The 19,237-nt window shown below is 39.0% G+C and overlaps 1 protein-coding gene and 2 long non-coding RNA genes across 10 annotated transcripts in view, besides 1 other annotated feature; 2 read left to right on the top strand and 1 right to left on the bottom strand.

Moving 5' to 3' along the window:
- Window positions 15-9,193, top strand: ANKRD42-DT (ANKRD42 divergent transcript). 4 transcript variants are annotated; one of them, NR_149011.1, is made up of 4 exons: window positions 15-217; window positions 892-948; window positions 1,143-1,256; window positions 2,516-2,764. It is a non-coding gene; the product is annotated as an ANKRD42 divergent transcript (long non-coding RNA). The 4 variants fall into 4 exon arrangements; NR_149010.1 differs by having other exon boundaries at window positions 868-948; NR_149009.1 differs by lacking the exons at window positions 892-948; window positions 1,143-1,256 and adding an exon at window positions 8,831-9,193 and having other exon boundaries at window positions 2,516-2,629.
- Window positions 46-265: an enhancer, noted in NCBI's record as "active region_5349". NCBI's record gives its function as "activates an Ori minimal core promoter by ATAC-STARR-seq in GM12878 lymphoblastoid cells {active_cell/tissue: GM12878}" and the evidence as "EXISTENCE:reporter gene assay evidence [ECO:0000049][PMID:35858748]".
- Window positions 6,200-8,163, top strand: PCF11-AS1 (PCF11 antisense RNA 1). The gene has a single exon (NR_133914.1). It is a non-coding gene; the product is annotated as a PCF11 antisense RNA 1 (long non-coding RNA).
- PCF11 (PCF11 cleavage and polyadenylation factor subunit) overlaps window positions 6,233-19,237 on the bottom strand; it is a 30,321-nt gene continuing 17,316 nt past the window's right edge. For 2 of the 5 annotated variants that reach the window (NM_001346414.2, NM_001346415.2), the window contains exons 10-16: window positions 16,480-16,599; window positions 15,865-15,967; window positions 12,493-12,676; window positions 11,675-11,830; window positions 11,193-11,285; window positions 10,611-10,646; window positions 6,233-9,005 (exon numbers count right to left, since the gene is read on the bottom strand). In NM_001346414.2, the coding sequence (NP_001333343.1) occupies window positions 8,790-9,005; window positions 10,611-10,646; window positions 11,193-11,285; window positions 11,675-11,830; window positions 12,493-12,676; window positions 15,865-15,967; window positions 16,480-16,599 (908 nt within the window). In that variant the 3' untranslated portion in view covers window positions 6,233-8,789. Of the gene's footprint in view, window positions 9,006-10,610; window positions 10,647-11,192; window positions 11,286-11,674; window positions 11,831-12,492; window positions 12,677-15,864; window positions 16,024-16,479; window positions 16,600-19,237 lie in introns of those variants that run through there. The other 3 variants (NM_015885.4, NM_001346413.3, XM_047427120.1) reach the window with 3 other exon arrangements.

Here is a 19,237-nt window from a genome sequence, read left to right as displayed (position 1 = left end):
CGTTCCTCACGGCCCACGCTACTTCCGGTTTCCTTTCCCTCAGCTATTCCATGGCTTTTCGTGTGGACAAATCGGGAGGTGGTGTAAACTGGTTTTTGGTGAAATTCGGCTCGGCCTCATGCGAACCTATCTAGGTCCGTCTCTGGAGTGGCCTGTCATCGATCGCGCCCTCCATCGCTGAGCGACACAAGTGGAACCCCCCAGGACTGCATTCTGCGTAGGTGACCTGTGTGGCGCGGGCCGGGCGGGGCCTTTTTGTCCTTGGGCAAACGTGGTATACTTTCTCAGTGGTGGTTGGAAGGAAATTTGTTGCCCTGTCATTTCGCAAGTATGGAAAAAGACCTAAAGGAGAATTTAGCAGCTGCAGCCGCTGTTTTTATTGCGTACTTTACTAGCGCCAACTCTTTAATAATCGCTTGTTAGTTGTTACCCCTGTTTTATGGGTCAAGAGACTCAATATATCAGTACTTTGGTAAGGCCAGGCAGCAGGTAAGTTGTAAAACCAGTAAAAAAACACAGGTCATTAGTCAAAAGAGTGCTTCAGGTCTCCTGACTCCAAATCCGAGAATCCTTTCACTGTAGCATGTTTACTGCTCAAATATTTCTACAACCCTATTGCTTAACAACAGGAATGAATTATTTCACCATTTGTTGCAAACGTATGGGTCACGTTTTGTGCCAGCAGCAGAAAATACAGAAATTAGTAAGAATTACCTGCCCTCCAGGGGCATCACCAACCTGGATTCCCCTCTCGGCCCAGTTTTTCCACCCTTATTGCCTTCTCCCTTCAGGAATAATGAACTCGTCCTGGAAGCGTACCTTACTTTTTAATATCTCTGCCTTGTCATGTGCTGTTCGTCTTACCAGGAAACTACCCTGCTTTTCCCCCAGTTTTGGTCTGTGAACACATTTGGGAAATTCTTCTGATCCTACCGCTACTCTCTTGAGGTACAGTAAATTGTCTTTGACTTCCATCACCTTTTGTAATATTACAATTGCCATCTACTGAGTTCCTATGATCTGCCTGGCATTGTACTAAGTGCTTTATATTTTCTTGTTCATTTTTTTATGCCAACATAAATGAGTTTGACTCAATTCTTATTATAACCTGCCAAAATAAGTATTCCTCTTCCTTTTTACAGAGAGAGAAACAAGGGAAAAAAAAGTTAATTGCCTGAGGATATACTGCTAGTGTTGCGGGACAAATAGAGACGGGAGAGGCCAAACAGAATTCAGGACAACCCTTTATTATTAAGGTGATCACTGGCTCAGTCGGACTGGGGTCCAGAAAGTCTGAGCCCGGAACAAAGGGATCAATCACCTTTTAAGCAATTTGTGGCGGGAGTTTGGTGCTACAGGAAGCCTACTTGCAGAAGCAAGAACAAAGGCAGTTAATTATTCTTTTACATTTGTTACACCACATGTCTTACATCCTTGGGAATGCATGCTTTTGTAGCAATTGCTTATCAACCTTGTGACTTTACAGCGCGCTAGGGAGGGAAGCAGGAACTCGTGGTGCCTCAAGGAACGTGAAACGGTGGAACACAGATAAGCCTCTCCGTGCGTAGAGGAGAAATAAGCGGTTAATATTCTCTCTTAACCCAGGCCTCCGGAGGGTGGGGGGCTATATTTCATTCTACCTCTAAGGAAAAGAATAAACTTCTTGACTAATATACTTATAAAATTCATTAATTCCCCCTTCACTAGTAAATAATAAATACCTGACTTAGGATTCCAAAATAGGTCTTGAATTTTTCTGCAGGAGCTCCTCAAAGTCTCTGAATTCCCACAACCTTTTATTAGATCACTTATCCCATTGTATTATAATTATCTGTTTAACAATTTTTCCTCACCCCTAAAGGACCCTGAGCTTCTGGAAGGTAGGGACTGTATCTTAAAATCTTGGCATTTCTGATGTCTAGAATATTTCATTTAAGAGAAGGGCTTAGTAACTGTTGTGTGGGTGGGTTGATGAGTTAACTGTCAGGCAGGTGAACTAATAGGCTGAAGATAAAGTTTTTCACTGTTGGAAGTGAATTTGGGATTAGTCATCCTAATCCCCTCACTTTTAGAGATGGGGCAACTGAGTCATGCGCGGTGGCTCACGCCTGTAATTCTAGCACTTTGGGAGGCCAAGGTGAGCGGATCACCTGAAGTCAGGGATTTGAGACCAGCCTGGCCAACATGGCGAAACCCCATCTCTACTAAAAATACAAAAATTAGCCAGGCATGGTAGCAGGAGCCTGTAATCCCAGCTGTTCGGGAGGCTGAGGCAGGAGAATCACTTGAACCTGGGAGGCGGAGGTTGCAGTGAGTTGAGATCGCGCAATTGCGCTCCAGCCTGGGCGACAAGAGCAAAACTCCACCTCAAAGAAAAAACAAAACAAGACATGGGGCAGCTGAGGCCTTTTGTATACCAGGCATTTATCGAGTTATTCATGTGGGCCAGTTTCTGTGATAAATGATTTGCAAATAATACCCAACTTAATCTGTATTGTTATTTTTATTTTTACAGATGAAGAAACAGCTCAGATTTGACCAAGATCACACAAGTAGGAGTTGAGGAATTGGAACCCACTATGACTGACTCCAAATTAATATAGTGTTTATAGCCACTTACATAATAATGGTAAAGGTTTTATTTTTTTCACTATACAATATGTAGTAGATAAATTTACTGAGGAAATGAGACAGCACGTGACAAATCCTTAAAGGATACACACATGACAGGAAGGATTAGAAGAGGAAACAGAAACAGGTAACAGAGAAGCAGAAAAAGTAAAATCTCCCAAAATAAAAATAGAAGGAATTAAAAATAAAAGCAGACTCCGGGTGCAGTGGCTCATGCCCAGCACTTTGGGAGGCCGAGGCAGGTGAATCACTTGAGGTCAGGAGTTTGAGACCAGCCTCGCCAACATGATGAAACCCTGTTTCTACTAGAAATAAAAAAATTAGCCAGGTGTAGTGGCGTGCACCTGTAATTCTGGTTACTTGGGAAGCTAAGGCAGAAGAATCACTTGAACCCGAGAGGCAGAGGTTGCAGTGAGCCAAGATCATGCCATTGCACTCCAGCCTGGGTGACAGAGCAAGATTATAAAGTCTTCTCAATAAAATCGTCTCAAAAATAATAAAAATAAAAGCAGAAGTTAATGAAATAGCAAATAAAATTGATGATAGTAATTAGCTGGTGTTTGAAAAGAACAATAAATAGAAACTCAACAAATCTGAGGAAGAAAAGGAAAAAAAATGGTATTGGAAACAAAGGAGCCCATGGACGGAGGATGGCTTGAGCCCAGGAGGTTGAGGTTGCAGTGAGCCATGATTGCACCACTGCACTCCAGCCTGGTCAACAGAGCTAGACACTGTCTCAGAAAAAAAAAAAGAAACAGGCCGGGCATGGTGGCTCACGCCTGTAATCCCAGCACTTTGGGAGACCAAGGCAGGCGGATCATGAGGTCAAGAGATCGAGACCATCCCAGCCAGCATGGTGAAACCCCATCTCTACTAAAAATACAAAAATTAGCTGGGCGTGGTGGCAGGCGCCTGTAGTCCCAGCTACGTGGGAGGCTGGGGCAGGAGAATTGCTTGAACCCCCAGGAGGTGGAGGTTGCAGTAAGCCGAGATCGCGCCACTGCACTCCAGCTTGGCGACAGAGTGAGAGTCCGTCTCAGGGAAAAAAAAAAAAAAAGGGCAAAGGGACATCTTACAAAGGAGACTGTGAAAATCAGAAAGAAATTATTTTGTATAACATTATACACGTTGAGCACCCCTTATCCAAAATCTGAGATTTTCAGTCCTTATCCAAAATCTGAAATCCTTATCCAAAATCTGAGTGGCTGAGATCACGCCACTGCACTCCAGCCTGGGCAACACAGCGAGACTCTGTCTCAAAAACAATAAAGTGAGTGTGGTCCAGAAGAGATTAAGAAGCTAAGAAAAGCACACTGGTTTTAGCAAGAAGTCATTGATAATAAGAGTAATTTTAATAAAAAAGCTAAGATGCAATATCCAGACTGCATGGGATTTCAAGGTAAGTGCCTGACTATGGAAGAAATTTTTTTTTCTTTTTTTTTTGAGACAGAGTCTCGCTGTGTCACCCAGGCTGGAGTGCAGTGGCGCAATCTTGGCTTACTGCAAGCTGCCTCCTGGGTTCACTCCATTCTCCTGCCTCAGCCTCTCCGAGTAGCTGGGACTACGGGCGCCCACCACCACGTCCAGCTAATTTTTTTATTTTTAGTAGAGACGGGGTTTCACCGTGGTCTCGATCTCCTGACCTTGTGATCCGCCCGCCTCGTCTTCCCAAAGTGCTGGGATTACAAGCGTGAGCCACCGCGCCCAGCCTGGAAGAAGTTTCTTAAGTGAAACAGGGTTCAGAATACATCCTGGAGTGGTCATCTCAGTATTCTAGAGAACTGGAACCTTTTGTGAGTAGGAAGGAAGGTATGATTCCAGTTAGTAAATATGACTAGTCCTCCACTTCTACCTCAGTTTTTCTAAAGTGGGGTGATAAAGCAGGATATCATAAATCAGCTTTTTATATCTTGTTTCAGAGAAGGGAGCAGGGCCAACCCCAGGCAAAAACAAAAAACGAAGTGGATATTGGTGACAGTCTGTACTCCTTTCTGCCTATGTGCCATTTTCTGTTATTTCCCAGTCATTCTTGTTCTTCTTTTGGTGCTCACTCCCAAATCTTCACAGGGGTACTCCTTGGGTACCTTTTGGCTCTTATTTAGCTACTCTTCCCCACCTGCTCAACACAATGCCCATTATCTCTGGGAGCTGACCCCATTTAGGATTAGGAAAAAACTTCCCAATTCTACAAGAGTGCAGGTCTTTCTTGATAATAGTCTTTATTTTCCATTTCTACCTCCATTTAGGCAGCTACATTTTTCCACCTGCAGCATGGTTAGATGCCTCCTCAGATTTTCCTGAATATTTTGTGTAAACCTCCATTAGGTTGCTTACTTGGTACTAAATTGTAAGGTCAGTCATATAAAAAATATGTATATACTAAGCTGTTATATGAGAATGTTTTAATTTTTTATATGTAATTCCTTATTTTTCTTCCCAAAGCTTTTTATTTTTAGCTGAATTGCAATGAGATTGCTTTCTATTTTCCAAAGCATCAAAGTTGGACATTTTCAGTGGGAAAATTACACTAAAACCAGGAGGATATAAACTTAATGAAATCTTTAGATTTTAGGAAACACATACTTTTCCTTTTACTTGTTCTCTCAAACTTCAATTCAATTTAAAAGAAAATGTTCCATCATCTCTGAGGCTTCATTTAATTTTCCTTACTGCACTTTACAGTGTTAGATTACTACTTCTAGCTAACAGTGTTATGTATTGACTCTTTTTCTATCTTTGGGGATGCTGTTGATGTTGATTTCTGAATTATTTACCAGATCTGGCTGTTCATTAGAAAAAACTATGGAGCTTGAATACTAGAAGTGCCCCTGAATGCGAATCAACTAAATGAGACTCTCCAGAGATTAGGAATCTCTTAATATTCACTAATTCTAAGCCAGGTGTAGTGGTGTGCACCTGTAATCTAGTTACTTGGGAGGCTGAGGTGGGAGACTGGCTTGATCCCAGGAGTTCGAGGCCAGCCTGGACAACCTGGTAAGGCCCCATCTCTAAATTTAGTATTAAAATTTGTTTTAAATTCACTATAATTCTAATGCACAGCCAAATATGGGGCAGATCTGGATCACTGCCTTACATCTGGCCTTCTACCTCAAAGAGAAAATAAGAATTGAACTCAAACCCAACTGTAAATACTAGTGGCCATCTTGGAGAACACTGGCCCACCTCCATTCCAAAGCTAAATCCTTCCTGTGCTTTTATTTTTTTTGGCAGACAGTGTCCCTCTGGTTTTTCATATATTTGGTAGCGACGGAGTTTCACCATGTTGCCCAGGCTGGTCTTGAACTCCTACACTCAAGCAATCTACCCACTTCATCCTCCCAAAGTGCTGGAATTACAGGCATGAGCCACTGTGCCCCGCCCCTCCTGTGCTATTGTTGATACTATCTTGTTACAACCTTGAGACTGGTATACCGGTCATCTCCATCTTCAACCCATTTCTCCACTGAGCTCCTCTTAACATGCTAATGCCTCTCCTATTTGTCTAACTACAATTCAATCTCTGGAGTTAAACTTCATTTAAAAAAATAGCTTTTAATATTTTGTTACCTCTCATCCACACTACCCATTGCACCAGGTGTTGGCACCCATACTCAGCTGTTCTTAGGTCAACAGTTAGAGTATTTCTGAGTCTTACATATTTTCTTGACTTCATTTTGTTGACTACCTCGTCCATTGAAATTTTCTTCCTGCGCACACCTGTAATCCCAGCACTCTGGGAGGCCAAGACGGGCAGATCACTTAAGGTCAGGAGTTCGAGACCAGCCTGGCCAACGTGGTGAAACCCCGCCTCTACTCAAAATATAAAAATTAGCCAGGCGTGGTGGCGGGCACCTGTAATCCCAGCTACTTGGGAGGCTGAGACAGGAGAATCACTTGAACCCAGGAGGCAGAGGTTGCAGTGAGCCGAGATTGTGCCACTGCACTGAGCCGAGATTGTGCTACTGCACTGATCCAGCCTGAGCAACATAGCAAGACTGTCTCAAAAAAAGAAAAAAAAAAATTTTCCCATTGCTGGTTTTCCCATTTTCTTTTTGACCTTCCCACCTACCAGTCTTTGTTCCCCCATCCTTGACCCTCTTCTCCATGTGGATACCGTTGATACACTTTTAGGTTTGAATATCACCTTCCTTTTAGAATGTTCCATACCTTTAAGCATTTGATAAAAGCTATGGTGGTTTCCCCAGAAAAATGTTCAACAGGAAGTTTTGCCTACATTTTTGGATTCACAGACCTCAGTTCCTATGGCAGTGTTCATATACGTAAGTTCAGCTGTTACGTGTTTACAACTCAAATCCAATGGCTACCAGTTTTCCCACTGGACCTCTCTGGATTTAGCAATCTCTAAAATTGTATTCACTTGATTCTTAAAAAAATAAAAAAGCTTAAATGCAGATAGGATGTCACCCTGTTTAAAATTTCTAGTGGCTGCTCTGGTCATCAGTTTAATAAAAATTCCTTAGCATGACCAAGAAGGCTCTTCACTACTTAAAAATAAAGGCTGGGCACGTGGCTCATGCCTGTAATCCCAGCACTCTGGGAGGCCAAGGCAGTAGGATCACTTGAGCCCAGGAATTCGAAACCAGCCTGGACTACGTAGTGAGACTCCATTTCTACTAAAAAAATTAATGGCTCATCATAATCTATTCAAAACTACTGAGTTTTAACCATAAGAAGTCAATTTTTGAAAACACAAAAGTATTTTAAGCCTTTACATTTGCTGTTCATTTTCCAAAGATACCCTTCCCATCAGTATGGACTCCACTCCTGGTTATCCTCCAAGACTCAAATGTCACCACTTTTGTAGAATCTTCCTTAGCCACCTTCCAGTAGTTTGGTGTGCTTATTTCTATCCTAACAATCAATTTGGGGGTATCTTTTAAAATTGCAGAAATTGTATGGAATTAGAGGAAACAAAGCCACGTTCAAATTCTTATAAAAATTTTAAAGTGAGTGGCTTAATTTCATCTGTAAAGTGGGGACACCATCTACCATGTAGTTATTAGATGTGAATACCAGAGAAAATACATGTAGAAAGTGCTAGTGCCTGCCACATACTATGTGCTCAATAAAACTCAGTGTTTTATATGCCTATCTCCAATAAATGGCAGAAAAGACTAACCTGTCTCAGAGTGCCTGGCTCATAGCAAGTACCATGTTCATGTTTCAAAAAACAGATGAAAGACAACAAGAAAGTCACATTCTAAAGCTTTTCAAGAAATAAAGAAGTACAAACAAAGTTTCTTCATCATTCTATTTATTACATGTATGAATATTAACATCTCATGGTGTCCATCTAAGTCAAAACCAACAAAAGAAAAAAGTTAACCATATCTCAAGCAAACATTCTTACAGATTCCCGTTACTTAAAATAGAAATATGTTCATCTGCATTAAATCATTTGACAATTTGAAAAAGTCTTTAAAAAAAAAATCACCTTTAGTACTTAAATATATTTGTTAATTGTTTGATGGCATCAGTGTCCAAGTTCAAGAATAAAACTTTGCATCATTAGATATTTTCAAAAGTGAACATCTGGATGGTTCTCTATACCTGGAGATGTGTTTGTGTATATATATATATATATCTGCAAAATATGTCCTATTTTATCTTTAAAATTTTTTCAAAATCTGGCTTTTCTATTTGAGAAAAGCCCTACGGTGCTCTCTCGGAACCCCCTTTTGAAGGATGAAACCTCAAACTTGCTTCTTTAATCAGTGGGAGGCTACTAGAAAAAAAATCTTATGTTGAGGTTGCTGTTCAATTCCATTTTTACCCAATAAAAAGTACAGAAACTATTTGATGGTGTGCATAAATATTACACTCCATGAATAGCAAAAATATTTTTTATTTATAATTTACAGTTGCACAGTGAAAAATCGTACATTTTTACACATACAATTTCATTTCGTTAAATTTGCACACATCTACAGAACTTTCACACAACAAGCACCTGAAACTCTGCAGGCAGTAGGAAATGCAAATACTAAAATGTATTTATTAACCAAATGATAGCTGAAGGCCCTGCCTCAGCCAGACAATTTATATAGATATGTCTATATATACATAAAAAAATTCTTCACCTTCTAGATCCAACAGCAGCTTTTTTAAAAAAGAAAAACATACCTTTCTCATTTTATTTAAACTGACTCGACTGTGTCATTTTCTGTTTTAATTTCAGAGGGTGTTGCTATGCTTTCCTCTGTACAAGCTGGTGGTGTATCAATTCGTTCTTCCTTAACTTTGGGACTGTCACAGGGTTCCTGCAATTCGTTTTTGACAATGTTCAACATAATATTCAAGGGGTTTTCAACTGGTGTCTTGCTGGGAGATGGTGTACAATCAAATGAAGATGTCTACAAAATGAAAGGCCCTATGAGTACTGATGAAAGTTCAAAATTCTCACATTAAATAACATTTAGTCTTGTAAGACCCTTGTATGAACAAGAGAACACACATACAACCAAATGCAAATGAAACACCTGCCTCCCAACAAAATGTGCCATAAAGACAACCAGAAATAAAATATATATTGCACGTTCAATATGTACTCAGCAGTGAGTTAAGCAGTTAACAGCTAAGTTATAGGACATTATACAGCCAAAAAAAGTTGATTAGACATGCTTCTACATTTTAATCTCTACATAGATGTTAAACTCATACATATATCCTGGGACTTGTTACTACCCTAATTTCAAATAGTCTGAGGATTTTTTAAATCCCCACAAACCATCACCCTCAACACTAGTCTTCTGACAACCTAAATAAACCTTCCAAATTGCCTCCAACCCATTATCTCTAAAAACCTATTTATTCCATTACTTGATTTTAAAAACAGACTACAAATATGACCATTTGAACTTTTTTTTTTTTTTTTTTTTTTGAGACAGAGCTCACTCTTGTCGCACAGGTTGCAGTGCAGTGGCATGAACTCAGCTCACTGCAACCTCCACCTCCTGGATTCAAACAATTCTCCTGCCTCAGCCTCACAATCAGGTGGAACTATAGGCACCCGCCACCATGCCTGGCTAATTTTTGTATTTTTAGTAGAGACAGGGTTTCACCATGTTGGCCAGGCTGTTCTCGAACTCCTGACCTCAGGTGATCCACTCGCCTCGGCCTCCCAAAAGTGCTGGGATTACAGGCATGAGCCACCACGCCCAGCCGACCATTTGAACTTTTAAGGTCAACGACTGGTATCATTTTTAGATTCCGTATGTGATCATTAAAAAGTATACCTATTTTGGCCGAGCACGGTGGCTCACGCCTATAATCCTAGCACTTTGGGAGGCCAAGGTGGGTGGATCACTTGAGGTCAGGAGTTCAAGACCAGCCTGACCAATGTGGTGAAACCCTGTCTCTACTAAAAATACAAAATTAGCCAGGTGTGGTGGTGCACGCCTGTAATCCCAGCTACTTGGGAAGCAGGGGCAGGAGAATCCCTTGAACCCAGGAGGTGGAGGTTGCAGTGAGCCGAGATTGCGCCATTGCACTCCAGCCTGGGCAACAAGAGCGAAACTTTGTCTCAGAACAAAACAACAAAAAGAATATACCTATTTAGATGGCTGAATAGAGATGTAAGAAAAAAAAATAGCAGTAAATGCTACCCATAGCTCTAGAAACGTATCCCCATCAGGATCCTTATCTTCACTTTTCCTCACATTTCTTTGGGCCTAGTGGACTAGTAAAAGATACCATGATTCAAGTGAATAAAATGCAAGGAATGATAAATTTCAAAATTTTAATTGTTTGCGTTATCACAGAAAATGATATTCATATATGTCAATTCTGTCAATCTGGCACCAGTTTTTACTGAACAACCTAAATGCTATATCAAAAAACAAAAACAGTTCAATATATTAAGTTTAAAATAACAATATTGCTCTGATGCAAAAAAAAAACTGAAAAGTAAAATTTATTAATGCAAATGAGAACAAATACAGTAACCAAAAAGAACTTACATTTTGATAATCTTCATAACATGATGGATGATAAATCTGAAGCAAAAAGAAAAAAAGTAAATATGTGCGTATTCATTTCTAATGGGCTATTCTGATATTTCTTTTTAACTTTAAGCCAGAAGATAGTCTTTGGAAAGAAGACAAAAATTATTTGGTCCCAAAATGGATAAAACCAAATTTTCATCCTTATGCTTAAAGAGTCTGAAAAACTGACTTCTCTTGGCCCATTTAAGTATCTAGCCTAACTTGCTTTGTTTTCAGCACAGTATAGTTTGATGATGAAATATAAATCCACAATCAAAATAGTGTGGGTCGACAGAAAAACGACTAACTAGATTCAGAAGACCTAGTCCTGGGTCTGTCACTGACTAATAGTGCAACCTCCTGTGTAAAGTGTACAGAACCGGGTGACTGCTAAGATCCCTTCTAATTCAAACATTCTATTACTAAAGTCCAATACCCTTTTTATTAAGACCAAAAATCAAACAAAAACTATTATGAACCGCCTCCTTTCAAAGTAATGTGTTAACCCAACAAAAAAACACTAATCTTAACACTTCCTTATAAAGAAATGAAAATTACCTTTCCATCTACTCTAATAGCATTTTTCAAATGCCATTCCTCCTCTTCTTCATCCCAGTATTGTTCAAATTGTTCTTGACAGATTTCACAACTCTAAAATAGAATCATATAAAATGAAATTTACATAATAGACCATATTTAACCCCATTAAGTAAAAATATACAAACACTGTTAAGTGGAGTAAAGAATTTATGAGTGTTCCAAAAGTTTGAATAATGTCCAATATACAGTATGATTCAAAATACATTTATGGGATTCTGTCAATCTTTCCAGTAAAAAGAGTAAACATTTCACTGCTTTTGGCCACTGTAGTTATGAAACTCAAAGCTAGATTGTAAGAGTAAAATTGAAGAGTAGAGCTTTCAAGAAGTCTTAAAATCATTAAAACAGGGATATAAATATAGTGATGTGTTTATGAGTATTTACATAAAGGAAGTGAGGGACACTCCCACTGTGAGAAAACTTAAACGTTCTTCTCTCACCTCAACTGCTCCAGCTGGTCCAGCAGGTACACTTTGGAACTCTTTTTCTTTAGCAGCCTCTTGAGTTTTGAGCACAACTTCTTCATGCACCTTTTCAAAAAACTGGCTCTTTGCCCGTTCTTCCAGATCAGCTATCTCCTCAAATTCTATCCAGTCCTTAAAAGGAGTTGATTTTTAAAAGATTATTCCATTTATTTCTAAATTTTTACTGTGTATCTTCAATATAATGCCATTTAAAGGTAGGGGTATACTATTTTCTACATTATGCTCTAATATTATTTAAAATTATACTTTGAAACATATAACTAATGACAACATGAAACTAATAATTAAGATCTTTTCCATTAACTCTATAGTTACAACTACTAATTCAAAAAAGACAAGCTTCAAGTATATTTTTTTTTTTACAAAAAACAGTCCTAGAGCCTGGGAATTTTAGAGCTAGAACAAGCCTGTAGGCTACACTCTAATCTTAATTAAAAAAAAAAAAATTCCCTTCAAAATTCATTTTTTAAAAAATGTGTTTATATTCCAGGGGTCAAAGCCTTGGACTTTTAGAGCTAGAACAAGCCTGTATGCTATACTCTAATCTTAATTTAAAAAAAAAAATACTCTTCAAAATTCATTTTTTAAAAAATCTGTTTATATTCTAGGGGTCAAATTTTATTCAGGAAATTTCAATGTTAGATTCCAGCAGTTATTAAAATTATTAAATTACTTAATTAAAATTAAATTTTAATAATTATTAAAATTAATATACTTTTAGAATGATATAATTTAAGCCTAAAAGATACTATGGAGGCACATGGGTTACTTACTGTTAAACTGTAGTACCAACGTCTATGAGTGACTTTTCGGCTAACATCCTTTTCAGTTCTATTTTGCCGATAATGCCAGTCCAAATGATCTGCATAAACATCTGTCTGTGATGTTGTAAACCTCATTCCACAAGAGTAACACTGAATACCAGTGTACAGTCGATTTATAACACTGTCATAACGTCTATTTTGAAAAAGAAATAATCTTTAGTGTTGATAATATGGCTTAATGGCCTTTAAAAGCCAATTACAAATATTTCAATTTTCCATACTGTAACAATGGTGAAACCAAGAGCTGGCTGAAACAGTTAATACCCAAAGATCAGTATTATTCTCTAACAATGTGATTGACCCTCTTTACCTTAACTTTGGTGACTTTTGGAAGATGGAGCCTGTCTTCTTATTGATAGCCCTGACCCAGTTATTTATTTCCTTTTAGCTAAAAATGAAATGATCCTGTGCTAGCTAACAAGGCAATAGTTAGCTTATTTTAGTTTGGAGTCAAGTCAAGATGGACATGGCAGAACAGTTAAATTTCACCTCTCTAGATCTTTGGCATTCTGAATAATTCAACTTCTCCACTCTGGTGTAACAGTGAAAAAAGGACAGAAGAAATAATAATAGTATGGATAACTAAAGAGAAAACTTAGAATACCATTGGGAAACAATAATTAGTTTGCTGTGGTCAACAAATAATTAGTTTTTTAAATTCTGGGCTCCCTATTTGGGAAGAAACAGGTATATATAGAAGACCAAGTAAGTGAACAAACAGAGCAGTTATTAACTCCAAGAAAAAAAAAAAAAATAGCCGGGCACAGCGGCTCACGCCTGTAATCCCAGCACTTTGGGAGGCCAAGGTGGGCAGATCACGAGGTCAGGAGCTCAAGACCAACCTGACCAACGTGGTGAAACCCTGTCCCTACTAAAAATACAAAAATTAGCTGGGTGTGGTGGCACATGCCTGTAATCCCAGCTACTTAGGAGGCTGAGGCAGGAGAATCACTTGAATCGGGAGGCGGAGGATGCAGTGAGCCAAGATCACGCCACTGCACTCCAGCCTGGGCCACAGAGTGAGACTCCATCTCAAAAAAAAAAAAAAAAAAATAGAATAAAGCAAATAACAGAACACTGGTACTTTGTTACAGCAACAAAATAAACATCTAGTCACAATATTAATACTGAATAATAAAAAACAGTCTTATAACTACATGGAGGGGAGTTAGTAGGACACTACAAGAGCTAGCTAAATCCACCCCCCGCCCGTTTTTTTTGGAGACGGAGTCTCGCGCTCTGTCACCCAGGATGCAGTGCAGTGGCCCGATCTCAGCTCACTAAAGCCTCCGCCTCCTGGGTTCAAGCAATTCTCCCCACCTCAGCCTCCCGAGTAGCTGGGATTACAAGTGCCCACTACCACGCCCAGCTAATTTTAGTATTTCTAGTAGAGACAGGTTCTAGTAGAGACATGTTACCATGTTGGCCAAGCTGGTCTTGAACTCCTGACCTCAGGTGATCTGCCCACCTCAGCCTCCCAAAGTGCTGGGATTACAGGCATGAGCCACTGCGCCCAGCCTAAATCACTTTCAGAAAGTTAAGAGATTATGTCCAGATGTGGTAAATCAAGAAACAGAAAATTATGTGTATTATAAGAAATAGGTGGCTCAAACCTGTAATCCCAGCATTTTGGAAGGCCGAGGCGGGCAGATGACTTGAGCCCAGGAGTTCGAGAACAGCCTGGACAACATGATGAAACCCCATCTCTACTAAAAATACAAAAATTAGCTGGGCGTGGTGATGGGTGCCTATAATCTTAGCTACTCAGGAGGCTGCGGCAGGAGAATCACTTGAACCTGGGAGGCGGAGGTTGCAATGAGCCAAGACAGGGCCACTGCACTCTAGCCTGGGTGACAGAGTGAGACTCTGTCTCAAAAAAAAAAGGAAAAAGAGGTAAATGGCAGAAAAAATAGTTTGAAAAGTTAAAAAAATAAAATGATTGCCTCTAGGGTACAGTGTTGGGTGAAGGAGAAAGGGATGCCATCTTTTATTAAAAGCCTTTATGTGAAAGTATTACTTTGAAAAAAAAAAGGATTTTACATTATAGTATCTAATTCAAATTTAAAAAATGATTTTAAGAGTGAAAAACTCATTCACTATTTTATTTTTTATAAAGTACTCACAGGATTAATGAATTTATTCACTAGAAAAATCTTTAAATGTTTTTTATAATACAATAGAAAATTATGAAAAGATATGCACCAAATGTTAACAGTTGTTATCCATAAAGTGAGAGTTGTACGTTTTCTTGATTTTATTTATAGTATGTTCTAATTTTCCACAATTAACATTACTTATAAAATGAAAAATAGATTTTTTTTTTTTTTTGAGACACAGTCTCGCTCTTTCGCCCAGGCTGGAGTGCAGTGGCGTTATCTCGGCTCACTGCAAGCTCCGCCTCCCGGGTTCACACCATTCTCCTGCCTCAGCCTCCCGAGTAGCTGGGACTACAGGCACCCGCCACTGCGCCCGGCTAATTTTTTGTATTTTTAGTAGAGACGGGGTTTCACCATGTTAGCCAGGATGGTCTTGTTAGCCAGGATGGTCTCGATCTCCTGACCTCGTGATCCACCTGCCTCGGCCTTACAAAGTGCTGGGATTACAGGAGTGAGCCACCGCGCCCAGCCGATTTTTTTTTAATTGTAAATGCTGAACTATGAAAATCTCATTTCTGAACCTCAAAAATGTTAAGAATATCAATACAGAAAAAATGATGATACACAGAAAATGAAACTAAACAGGAATACATGAATTATCAATACCTAATATTTAAACTCCCTAAGTTTTCTGTATCACAGATTAAAAAATGAAAATTTTGAGGGACCAGGTGTGGTGGCTCACACCTGTAATCCCAGCACTTTGGGAGGCCAAGGCAGGTGGATCACTGGAGGTTAGGAGTTCGAGACTAGCCTGGCCAACGTGGTGAAACCCCATCTCTACTAAAAATACAAAAATTAGCTGGGTATGGTGGTGCACACCTGTAATCCCAGGAGAATCACTTGAACCTGGGAGGCAGAGGTTGCAGTGAGTCAGGATCACGCCACTGAACTCCAGCCTGGGCAGCAGAGTAAGACTTTTGGGGGTGGCCTTTGGCCCAAGTACTTGTACAGCAGACATATTTTAAAAGACGATTTAAAAATAGGCTTCCCAAAGACTATGTTATGTATATTTTACCACATTAAAAAAAAAAAAAGACTTCCTAAATGTTAAAACAGTAAAAGGGATAAAGGGAAAGGGAAAGCACTAATAGTAACAATGTCCACTATAACAGTGTTATTAAAGTCACTGCCTCTTTATCTTAAAGAAAATTAGATTACATACTGTTTCAATTCTTCAACTGTAAAATTAGTAAGATCTGGAACATCTTGATCTTCATTTTGATCTTCCTCCTCTTCAGGGGGAGGCTGAGCAGTTACTTCACTTACTTCTTCAATTAAGAAGAGACATACAAATTTCTTAATACCATTCTCCATGTATTCTCTACAGAGGAACACTATAGTATTATAAGCAAATAGAGAAATCCACCTAGTCCATTCAGTGCTTCTGATCTCAAGTTTACTGGCCAAGGAACCTAATACAATTTTTTATTTTGATATGTGATGTTAACTCTGATTTCTTAAAAGTCATCTATAATAAAAGTCATTTATTTCATTAATATTCAAAACCTTTTCAAAAGTTAATCTAACATACAATTACTGGTAAAAAGCCTGCACATTAGGTATGTTAGTTAACTGAAACACATGTCCACTATAAGGTAGTTCAATCTTAGGAAATCTAAAAGAATTTCATTATAAACCGAAAATCAAAAATAAAAGCTATACCTAGGAATTCAATTATTGTAAGGACCTTTATCATAACTTATATCATTATATTACATCATACATCTCAAAAACTTAATGAAGCTTTGTGTAAATTTAAGTATAAAATCACACTTACGTGTTGTAGCTGAATCAGTTTGGGACAATTTGAGAATTCCTGTTTTTAGCAATTTTGAAAACAATTCATTTACATCCACCTGACTGAGATGATTATCAGGATATGCCTTAGGGAGGGCTCCTAACAAAAAAAAGAAAGAAAGAAAAAAAACCACTTTTGAAGTGAATGTAGAACTTAAAGATGCAAATTATACTAAGCATTTTTCAAAGTTTTCTTCAAGATGTCCTGCCAACAGTAAATTTGACAAAATCTAATTTATTAATAAGTTTAATTTCAAAAGCCCCTAAGATTATCTTTTCATTTAGGTCTACAAGTCAGCATGACTTGAGAATATATTCTTTTTTCCTTCTTTTTTTTTTGTTTTTTTATTATACTTTTAAGTTCTAGGGTACATGTGCACAACGTGCAGGTTTGTTACATAGGTATACATGTGCCATGTTGATTTGCTGCACCAATCAACTCGTCATTTACATTAGGTATTTCTCCTAATGCTATCCCTCCCCCAGACCCCCCACCCCCCGACTGTGCCTGGTGTGTGATGTTCCCTGCCCTGTGTCCAAGTGTTCCCATTGTTCAATTCCTACCTACAAGTGAGAACATGCGGTGTTTGTTTTTCTGCCCTTGTGATAGTTTGCTTAGAATGATGGTTTCCTGCTTCATCCATGTCCCTGCAAAGGACATGAACTCATCCTTTTTTATGGCTGCAAAGTACTCCATGGTGTATATGTGCCACACTTTCTTAATCCAGTCTATCATTGATGGACATTTGGGTTGGTTCCAAGTCTTTGCTATTGTGAATAGTGCCACAATAAACATATGTGTGCACGTGTCTTTATAAAAGCATGATTTATAATCCTTTGGGTATATACCCAGTAATGGGATTGCTGGGTCAAATAGTATTTCTAGTTCTAGATGCTTGAGGAATCACCACACTGGAGTTGAGAATATATTCTAAAACAAATGCTGACAACACTGAAAATAATGACCCTTTATGCTCCCTTCTCCCAAGCAATGCAGCACCACCCCATCTCCAACTTTCCACCTTTCTAATCTCTCTTCCTCATCTTCTAAGTACACTGGAAAAAGTAGTTTTATATAGATGAAATAGTTTATTACCCCTTAGCACTAAGCCTAAGTGGAAGTACTCCTGACCTCAATGCTCCCTGACGTAACAGGAAAACTGAAACAGGGAGATGAATCAGATGGCTCAGAGTATACCTGCTCCTATGACCTTTGCTAAAAAGCATACTGCCCTTGCAAAGCAGCTCAAGCTATTGCTGAAAAGGTGTCATGGTTACTAAAGCTTCAATAACTTGAATAAATAAGATAAGCCTAACAATCTTGTTCTGCTTGATAAGGAATCCTCATTGGTGAGGAATCATTCCAGTCTCATATTTTTCCAAGCACTATTCTAATAATTGTGATTCTTTTTTTGTTTTTGTTTTTGTTTTGAGACAGAGTCTCACTCTGTTGCCCAGGCTGGAGTGCAGGGGCACGATCTCAGCTCACTGCAAGCTCCACCTCCTGGGTTCACACCGTTCTCCTGCCTCAGCCTCCAGAGCAGCTGGACTACAGGTGCGTGCCACCACACCCAGCTAATTTCTTTTTGTATTTTTAGTAGAGACGGGGTTTCACCGTGTTAGCCAGGATGGTCCTGATCTCCTGACTCCATGATCTGCCTGCCTTAGCCTCCCAAAAGTGCTGGGATTACAGGTGTGAGCTACAGTGCCCGGCCATAATTGTGATTCTTTAACTATGAAAACAATATTTTAGGCCAGGTGCAGCGGCTCACACCTGTAATCCCAGCACTTTGGGAGGGTGATGCAGGTGGATCACCTGAGGTCAGGAGTTTGAGACCAGCCTGGCCAATATGGTGAAACCCCGTCTCTACTAAAAAATACAAAAATTAGCCGGTTGTGGTAGCCCATGCCTGTAATCCAGCTACTCAGAAGGCTGAGGCATGAGAATCGTTTGAAACTGGGAGGAGGTTGCAGTGAGCCAAGATCACCCCACTGTACTCCAGCCTGGACAAAAGAGCAAGAAGACCCTATCTCAAAAAAAAGAAAACAATATTTTAATGTATTTGTATGTCACTATGATGCATCTCACTACACCTATACAGAAAAGTTCTGAACCACTAAAAATTCCTCTTAATGGCAGAAATTCAATTTGCATCCACATACAGATAATCCCTACCCTTAACCACTGTATACATTTATCATACTGCCTTATATATCGTAGGCTAATTAATGTCTGTTCAAACTAAATGTCTGAATACATGAATGAAGAGATCAACTTCAATAATCAATTACAGTAACATTTAACTCACTAGTTTAACCTTTACTTTCCTTTAAATTAGCTATTTATATGCCTAAGATGCACAATTAGCTATTCAGATGTCTGAGGGCAGCCAAGTCTAGTAACCAACAGCATAAACTGTGGAACCAGACTCCAGGGATTTTAACCAGAAATTCCACTTTCTAGTTGTGTGACATAATCAAGTTCCTTATCTATGCCTCAGTTTCCCGTGCCTGTAAAAAGGGTAATAATAGTTCCTACCTAAGATTGATATGAGGTTAAATGAATTAATATTTCTAAGGAACTGAGGTGTTTGGCATTATTATGTGTTTTTTGTTAAACCAAAAAAAAAAAATCAATAGCCTTTCTATATTATAAAGCTCTTTGAGGCCGAGTGTGGTGGCTCATGCCTATAAACCCAACACTTTGGGAGGCCGAGGTGGGAGGATTGCTTGAGTTC

Source organism: Homo sapiens, chromosome 11 (genome assembly GCF_000001405.40).
Source record: "Homo sapiens chromosome 11, GRCh38.p14 Primary Assembly".
NCBI classification, from domain to species: Eukaryota; Metazoa; Chordata; class Mammalia; order Primates; family Hominidae; genus Homo; species Homo sapiens.
Note: the sequence above shows the minus strand (reverse complement) of the source record. Positions and strands in the feature narration are given on the sequence as shown.